The sequence below is a fragment of the Homo sapiens genome, chromosome 3 (assembly GCF_000001405.40).
Source record: "Homo sapiens chromosome 3, GRCh38.p14 Primary Assembly".
Lineage (NCBI taxonomy): Eukaryota > Metazoa > Chordata > Mammalia > Primates > Hominidae > Homo > Homo sapiens.
The window spans coordinates 134054159-134062993 of NC_000003.12; the positions used below are offsets into that span (position 1 = coordinate 134054159).

The 8835-nt window shown below is 48.6% G+C and overlaps 1 long non-coding RNA gene across 1 annotated transcript, besides 1 other annotated feature; it reads right to left on the reverse strand.

The window, feature by feature from the left end:
- Positions 1092–3490, reverse strand: LINC02000 (long intergenic non-protein coding RNA 2000). Its single transcript, NR_135574.1, has 2 exons — positions 3252–3490; positions 1092–1502 (listed from the first exon to the last, which is right to left on the reverse strand). It is a non-coding gene; the product is annotated as a long intergenic non-protein coding RNA 2000 (long non-coding RNA).
- Positions 1932–2738: an enhancer, noted in NCBI's record as "H3K4me1 hESC enhancer chr3:133774934-133775740 (GRCh37/hg19 assembly coordinates)". NCBI's record gives its function as "activates a minimal SCP1, AML or CMV promoter by ChIP-STARR-seq in naive and primed H9 embryonic stem cells {active_cell/tissue: H9 hESC(naive and primed)}" and the evidence as "EXISTENCE:reporter gene assay evidence [ECO:0000049][PMID:30033119]".
- Positions 3491–8835: the final 5345 nt, after the last annotated feature.

Sequence of the window (8835 nt, forward strand, 5' to 3'; positions counted from 1 at the left end):
GCATAGGCTGAACAAATCACTCTGCAATATACCATGATATAATAAATGATTATTGTTGATATTAATGTCACACTTTTCTAGTTTACATTAAAATAAACTCATAACCATTCACAAAAATACTACAGTTTGTTTGTGTATGTTAAACCATGTCCATTACTCTCCCCCTGCCGCCATGGGATGTACTCTTCTTTGTGAGATGTTGTTACAGGCCAACGGCCCTGGAAGGATTCCCAAGTGTTGCTCCAGCAGATGACTATTTTCTCCCAGGTCCAGCCAGGCAGAGCAGAGTAAGGGGAACAGCTCATGCTAGACGGGGTTGGGTTGTGCTGCCTGTCTGGATTATATGGCCTAAAGGCACAGCCCCAGGCTTCCCGCTCTTTTTTTTTTTTCCTCTTGAGACGAAGTCTTGCTCTGTTGCCCAGGCTGGAGTGCAGTGGCACAATCTTGGCTCACTGCAGCCTCTGCCTCCTGAGTAGCTGGGACTACAGGCACATGCCACCATGCCCAGCTAATTTTTTGTATTTTAAGTAAGAGGCGGAGTTTCACCATGTTGATCAGGCTGGTCTTAAACTCTTGACCTCAAACGATCCACCCATCTCAGCCTCCCAAACTGCTGGGATTACATGCATGAACCATTGCGTCTGGCCTCCCTCTCTGAGCTCAGCTGCCAAAGTCATTTCTCAGGGCAGAGCCCCAAGGGTAGAGTAGACAGGTAGTCCATTAGTCAAGTCTACCAAAGCTGGGGTCCACCTGCTGCCCTCCCGTTCTGACCCTTTGCCTGCACAAATAAAAGGCATTGCAACCCCTTTATTCTCTACTGGCTCTTTCACCATCTGATCTAGCTCATGGCCCAGCTTCCTTGGGGAAACCACATCAAAAAGAAATGCGAGGCTCCCAGCAGGTTTCTAAGTCAACCAGCCAAGGCTGCTGTGGAGGGAAACTGTGGCTGCTGACCTGCTCCAAGCTGAGGAGTGGGAAGCCCACAGCAGACTCTCTGAATCAAGGGAAGGAGTTCACATCCATGACCCCCTCCCAAGGCCAACCCAGGTATCGACACATTCCCCCAAAACACTGAACAGGCAAACAGGACAGAGTGTGCTACAAACATTGTATTAGGAAGCAATATCCATCCCAAAGAATTTCACAAGCATGTAAGTAAACAAATCAGTCAAAAATTTGACACTTTATAGGATCAATTAACAAGGTTAATCTAAGTTCTCAAACGTTGAACATTTTTTCAATAAATATTGATTTTGTTTATATATCTTCAATCCACAAGTATTATTAACAAGTCTCAGAGGTGTTATTGAAGACTAAGAGTCAATACATTTTATTTATTATTTAATTGACTGATGTGTACCAAGGTGTCATTAACCTGAATAATGTTATGCAAAAGTCCAGCTCTGCCCTTTCAAAGATGGTCATGGTGTCATCCTTGCTTGTGTGCAATGTCAAAAGGTGGATGCTCTCCTCATGCTGTCTTCACTGGGCTTGCCTTCTTCCTTTCCAAAAATGTATTCATGGGCCAAGAAGAGAAAGAAAAACACAAGCGGCTATGGAAGTGTGAGCTCACAGTACCATCCAGCTAGAAACTGTCCTATAAGGCCGTGCAATGACCGCCGGGGGCCTGAGGGCTGGGTATCAGTGGGGTTGACCAGAGGTAATCCCACTCTCTAAAACCTGAGACAGCGGGGTTACTGCCAGGAGAAGCCCTAGGCCACACTCTAGTGTAGACCATTGACAAACTCAGCTCTTTGCTATGGGGGTTGCAAGTTCCTTGCAGAGCCTATGATGTGTGATGGCTCATGCCAGCGGGTGTAAGCACTAGGTTAGGACCACCAGGTCAAACGTTGATGCCTGGTTCAATTTGAATTTTAGATAAACAACCATTTCTTAGCATAAGGATTCCATACTTAGCAAATATTCCATACTTGGGATATACTTATGATTAAAAAATTATTTATTGTTTATCTAGTATTATTTATTATGTTGAGCTGAGTGTCTTGTATATTTTCACTTGCTAAATCTGGGGCCCAGTTAATTCATTCCACAAGTGAGATGTCATCATGCTGGCATTTCATTTCAGACACACGAAGCATTTCAGTTGGATAAAAGTAAACACCAGCCAAATTTAATGTAAAGATTAAGGTTGGTAAACTGAGTCTAGGTGCTTTATATCAAATGTGTGATTGTTTCTTGGTTTGAGGCTGCAGATGTGAAACATTTAATAGAAGGACTCAAAGAGAGAGAATTCTTACTATTAACTTGATTTCTCCTGTGAATTGGGAAAGACTATCATTGTTTTATCTGAAATGCAGAACATACTCATTCTAACTGGAAGAATGTCAAGAACCCACCAGGATGCATCTTGTTAACACAGGCTGGAAACGCAGATAGTGGCCCAGGAGGGCGGCCTGGGGCAGCCAGCAGGGCAAGCTTCAGGCAGAACTGAACAGTTTACAATGGCCATGAGACAGGGCAGTCAGCGGGGGAGGGGAAGGCCTGAGGCTGCACAGCACCTATAAAAGGTGGGAGAGTGTGAGAGTGCATGTGTGTGTGAGCATGTGTGAGAATGTGAGTGTGTGAGTGGGTGTGTGGGGGTGTGTGTGAGAGAGAGAACGAGAGAGTGTATGTGAGTGCGAGTGAGCGTGTGTGTTTGAGAGAGTGAAAGTATGTGTGTGAGAGACAGAGAAAACGAGTGTGAGCATGTGAGTGTGTGTATGAGAGTGTGAGTGAGTGTGCGAGTGTATGTGTTTGAGAGTGTGTGTGAGAGAGAGAAAGAGAGCGAGAGAGCGTGTGTGTGTGTATGTGTGTGTGGTGTTGGCACTCTGGAGCATGCAGAGTCCATTATGAGTGTGCAGCAGGGTCCAGGCACACTCAGACTTGGGAGCAGGGGGAGCTGGGGATCCATAACCCAGGGGAAAGCTGGGTCTGCTGCCATGGCCTTTGCAGGAGGGACCCTACAGGGAGCAGGCAGGGCCTGTCTGAAGGGTTGAAGTCTCAGGCTGAGAAGCAGGGGTTGATTACCCTGGGAGAAGCCTGTCAGATGATTGGAGCCCAATTGGAAGTGGTTGGGGCCTGTCCAGTTGGCTGGGGCCTGCCTGGCACCTGACCAGGCATGAAGGGACAGTGAGGGCAGGAATGAAGTGGCCAGGGAGGGCCAGGAAGGCATCTCTGGGTGGACAGAGGTGCTGGGAGCTATGCTGTCTGGCATAGGCTGTTATTATGTAGGATGGAAATTTAGCTCCTACCTCTACCTGCTGTTGGCCAATCAGCCAGATGTCTCCCATCAATACTTGGCCTGAAAGCTGGCTCTCACATGAATCGTCTCTTTGGATGAATCATGTCTCTCCTCGGAAGCTGCTTTCTCATCAGCCCAAATGACAGGACCCAGAGAGTTACAGCTTGGTGTGCTTGGGGAAGTCACAGCTTCTCTCCTGGATGGGCTGGCTGATCACAGCAATTGGCATGGATCCACAGGCAGTCCCTGAACCTAGAATGTCTCCATGCAGGATCACCTGCCTTGGCCCTGCACCCTCACGATAGTGCCTGAGACTCGGGCACACATCACACCAGTCCTGCCTCACCTTTCTCAGGGAGTCTGAAAGTGAAAATAACTGGCAAGAAAAGTGAAACTGCTTCTCCTCCCTCCCTGGGGGAAGGGACAAGGAGCAAGCAGCAAGCCTAAGTGGCCGAGGAGGCAAAGGTCAATTTGTGCCCCTTGAAATGGAAACCCAGAGGAACCTTTGCGACTTCCTCATTCCTAGTCTCATCAGCTGTTCCTGAATGGCTCTGGTTCCTGGAACACAGCAGGCCCCAAAGGCTATCATTAGAGCCCTGTCAGCCAGGTGACCCTGGTGGCCTGCCCCGCCCATTCTACATGAAGGCCAGCTGAGCTGCTGAAGGTAAAGAGAGTGGCTGCGCACACGAGCCACAGGCAGAATCACATACACACTTGGACATGCGTGGCCATGAACAGGATCAAACACACCTGCATACATGCATCCATTCTCAGGTGCACACAGCTAGAGACACCCTCACCCACAGCTCTCCGACACCACACACACACACACACACACACACACACACACACACACACACACAGCTCTCCCTAGGTACAAGCCCACACAGACACACATAAACATGCTTTCCCCCCAGCCCTGCCTGCGTAGCATCTCTCCTGGCACAAACACACAGGCGCCCATGGCCACGGGACATAGCGCACTCTTGCATGTACACCTTTTCCTGTCCACACACATGCCCAGTTGCCCAGTTCATAGACACACAGTCAGCTGTGCAGCTGCACAGCTGGCTATGTGTCCTCTGGACAAGAACACCAGCTTCTCCCTCCCCTCCAGTCTGGAAATGGCCTCCACCACGTCTCCGTTGGGCAGCAGAGCAGTGCCCCATAACTGCATTTTGTCCAGTTTGCACTGACCCAAAGGGCACTTGAGATCCAGGCCCTTCAAAGCTCAAGCCAACCATTTGCTGGCTGCTTTTCCCATGTGGGTTTAAATGCAGAGTGGCTACCTGGGCTCTCTGGTATTGAGAAAGTTTTCATTTCCATGCTAGAGAGGCTCTTCCAAGCTGCGATAAACACAGGCACACTCCAGTTACTTTGAGTCACGAATGTTTATTGTAAAGGAGAAAGGACAGACAGATGGGCAGGACACTATCAGTGCAGTTAGGACATAGGGTTTAGGATTCATTCAAAGGCAGCCTTAACAATGAAGATAGCTGGCAATTGTTGAGCATTTCCTCTTCCTGAGTGCTAGGCATGGCCCCAGATACTCTGTGTGCTTTATGCTGGATGCTGGCAACAGTCTCTTGGAACAGGTTGTCATCAGCATCCCGATTTGAGGAGGAGGACGTTACGGCTTAGAGAGAGAGGTTTGTAACTTGCCCAAGTCCCACAGCTAGTAAGTTCAGGGCTAGGGTGCAAACCTAGCTGTCAGGAGCCCATCAATGTACCCCAGGAAAACCACTCTGCAGAGGAGACCCTCTATTTTGCTACTGCCCAGATGCTGGCATCCATGGCTCCTGCCCTGGGGGATCTGTCATTCTTATGACACGGCTTCCCTCTGTGTCTCTCTCTGCTTCCCACTCTCCTTCTCTGCTTCTCACTCTGCGTGTCCCCAGTTCAAAACTCCCTGAGAAGCCCTTCAAGGTCAGTTGGATTTCAGCACATGTAGAACCACTCTGAGGCAAAGGAAAGTAAACACTTGCCTAGCTAAACCCACGTGCCTGGGGCTGCCTCACCAGCTAATGGCTGCCTTTGGGTGGGACAGTCAGCTGCCATCTGGGCAGCAGGTCACAGCCCATATAGGACCCCTGTGGGTGGAACAGACATCTACAGACCACAGAATGTCTGATGTGCTTTCAAATACTGTTATTGGAAATCTTTACTGAACATGTTTCTTATATTCCTGACTTTGTAAGATTTATCTAGTACACATAATTGAACTTTTTAAAATTGGTCCGGATTGTATGACTCCCAGGATATCATTCTGAATTCCAACTGGATCAGGCCACAAAAGTAGGAGGTATGGAGAGCTATTTTGTGGTGACAACCAGGAAATTCCCTAAACGTCTTTTAAAAATACATTCCTGCTTGGTTATTTGCCCTCATTTTAATGTGGAGGCAACAATGAGAAGGAAAAGTCCCTGGCAATGGGCTCCAGGGAACTTCGACTTCATGGTGGAAGCTGCAAATGCAGGCAGGTCCCAGCAGATGTGGCTCCCTTCTCCCAGGTGCTTCCAGGCAGGCTGCTGAGAACCATCTGCCCTGGGGGTCTTCCAGGGACTCCTCAGACATGTGGGCTCCGGGCCAGCTCCTTTGTTGCCTCCCTACCCTGGAGCTGCCTCCACTGATAGAGGACAGAAGATGGATGTCTCTGGTCGCTCCAGCCCCACAACACCCACAAACACAGGCTGCTAATCCAGTCTTGGAACTGTCAGGAAAAGCCCATTTTCATTTGATCCTTTGCACAAATAGATTAGAGGCCACCGACCTTGACGTCTGAGCATTGTTCAGCTTGTGTTAGAAAACATCCATATTTAGGGCGGTTGGGAGAGGCACGGAGGAGGGAGCAAAGGTCCAAAACACTCACTGAGAAGACTTGACCAGGACTGAACATTCACACCCAAGCTAAAGTCTGAACTCTGAGCGCCATCCTATGTCAAAAAGGATTCCCTGTGGACCTGAAACACCCAAAACCAGCAGCTACTGGGGAATGAATGCTTTTCCAGGATCATCAGCTCCTTTTGGGCTCATCCCTTCCATGCTGACTGAGCTTGGGTGGCTGACCTTTTGTTTTCTTATATGTGGGAGGCAATTGAGAGCAAGGCTGTGAGGCTGGAATTCAACCCCTCTCCCCATGGCCCCAGGGTGTGTCCATGTGGGGCTGCCAGATACACAGGAAAGGAGAGAAGAGCTGGGAAATGTTGACTCTGGATTTTAGGCAGCCTGGGTCCTCCCTTTTTCCTAAATCAGGACCCAGTCAAGTAAGGAGATTGCCTCTGACCATGTGCTGCAGCTTGACAGTAACATGACAATAGACCAAAACCCACAGTTACTCGAGGCAAACCTAGATTTTTAAGGGGAGTGTATGTGGGTGGCCTTATTTTACTGAGAAAAACCTTGTTTTGTTTATATTTTTCCCCTTACTTTGCAGAAGAAATAAGATCCCTTCTACCAAGGTTGTCCGTGATTTCTACTTCATTACTTGACTTGGAAACTCTCCCAAGAGGGTTGATATTCACAGTGTTGACATGTCGGTCTTGTTCTCCTGACCTTTAGCCTATATTGTTGACCAAAGCTGTTTAAAGGGCTCCCTGTGTGAAAGGAAGCTGGGGTCGGGTGATTCTCGGGAAGGCAAGAGAACAACACCCCATCTCATGACTAAATCAAAACTCAGCTCAGGACAGGAGGATCTAGGGCTGAGTGGCTGCAGCAGAGAGATGATCCCTAAGTGGAGAAGCGAGTCTGGCCCTGGCCAGCAGCCTCCCGGAGCCCTTTGCCCTCACACGGGTGATCTGAGCATCTGTGGCTCAGAGGTGATCACTTGACACAAGCAGATCTCCCAACCCAAGGAAGCCAGCGTGTCCATACAGGACATCCAGAGTGTGAGGAAGGACGAGGGAGTTTGGGCCCTGGGCCCTGGGTGCCTACCCAGCCATATTCAGGGAATTCAGCCTTCTTCTCTCTTCTGCCAATGATGAAAAGGAGAGAAGAGGCTAAACTTTTCCTCTCAATCAATGCGACCAAGGCCCTTCCAGAAAGCTCCTGCTTGTGCAACGTGGTGTGTTCCTGAGGGTCCCTGCTTAGGGACAGCCTAAGGTGCTATGGGGACTCGTTTTGAGCTACCAGATCTTTCAGGCTGAGAGACCTAGCTGGAAATCTCCAGGACCAGGGAGGCAGGGGCTGGATGGCAGGGGTTGGATGTTTGAAGCAAATGTGTATGCAGAAGGGTCTGAGTGGGAGAGAAGTGAGCAGCGTGGTTCTCTGGGCGTGCTGACATCTGTTGCATTCTGTCCAGGCGTACTGTCTTAGTTTCCCAGGGCTGCCATAATGAAGTACCTCCAACTGCATGGCTTCAAAAAGAAATTTCTGTCTCACGGTTCTGGAGGCTGGAAGTCCAAGATCGGGGTGTTGGCAGGATCCGTTTCTTTTGAGCCCTCCCTCTTTGACTGGTCGATGATCACTTTCTTCCTATTTCTTCATGTTATCTTCCTTCTGAATGTGTCTGTGTCCAAAATTCCTCTTCTTATAAGGACACCAGCTATATTGGATTAGAGCCCACCCTAATGACCTCATTTTAACTTAATTACCTCTGTAAAGATCCTGTCTTCAAATATGGTCACCTTCTAAGGTGTACTGCAGGTGAGGACTTCAATGTATGCATTTCGGGGGAACACAATTTGGCCTGTAACATCTACCTAGAGCAGAAAGCATCTTATCCCAAATGAGCAGCTTTGCAGCCCTGCCGCCAACCGAAGCCATTTCACCCATAAAGGCACAGTCCTATACTGCTCACGAAGCATTTGCACTTGTGATTTCTCCTTTAATCTCTCTGACCCTTCTGAAGTCAGCAGAGAAGACATTCTTGTCCCATTTCACAGATGAGAAGAAAGAGTTCCTGAGAGGTAAAGTATGTGGCCTTGAGCCCCACTGCCAGGAAGTGAGAGAGCTGAGCTGAGACGTGGTATCTCAGTCTGTTATCTCTTGCTATAACAGAGTACCAGGCTGGGTAATTCATAAAGAAAAGAAATTTATTTCTTACAGTTCTGGAGGCTGGGAAGTCTAAGAGCATGATGCCAGCATCTGGTGAGGGGCATCCCATGGCAGAAGGGCAGAAGGTGGAAGTGGGCATGTGAGACAGAGAAAGGAAATTGGCTGAATTCATCCTTTTTATCAGGAACCCAAAACAGTAATAATCAGCATTAATCCATTCACCATCATGACTTAATCTCTTAAAGGTCCTGCCTCTCAACACAGCTGCTTTGAGGATTATGCTTCCAACACATGAATCTTGCGGACACAGTCAGACTGTAGCACCCAGCCTCCTCACTCCTCCTGCAGAGCTCTTTCAAACTCACTGGGTCTGGACCAGAACATTCCCCCTCAAGGAGGGAAGAAAATATTTCATCTGAGAGCTTCCCATCCAAATCAGGTATGGTGACACTCTGCTTGTCCTGTTTAATTTGCCAGAGCTTTACCACAACATTTATTTGTTAAATAAAGTTGCTGCTCTCTGATGTTAGCCCGAGTCCACTGCTGTAGGCCAGGCACTCTTCTAGGCACTTCATCTGCATTATGTCTCATAGTAGTCCAGT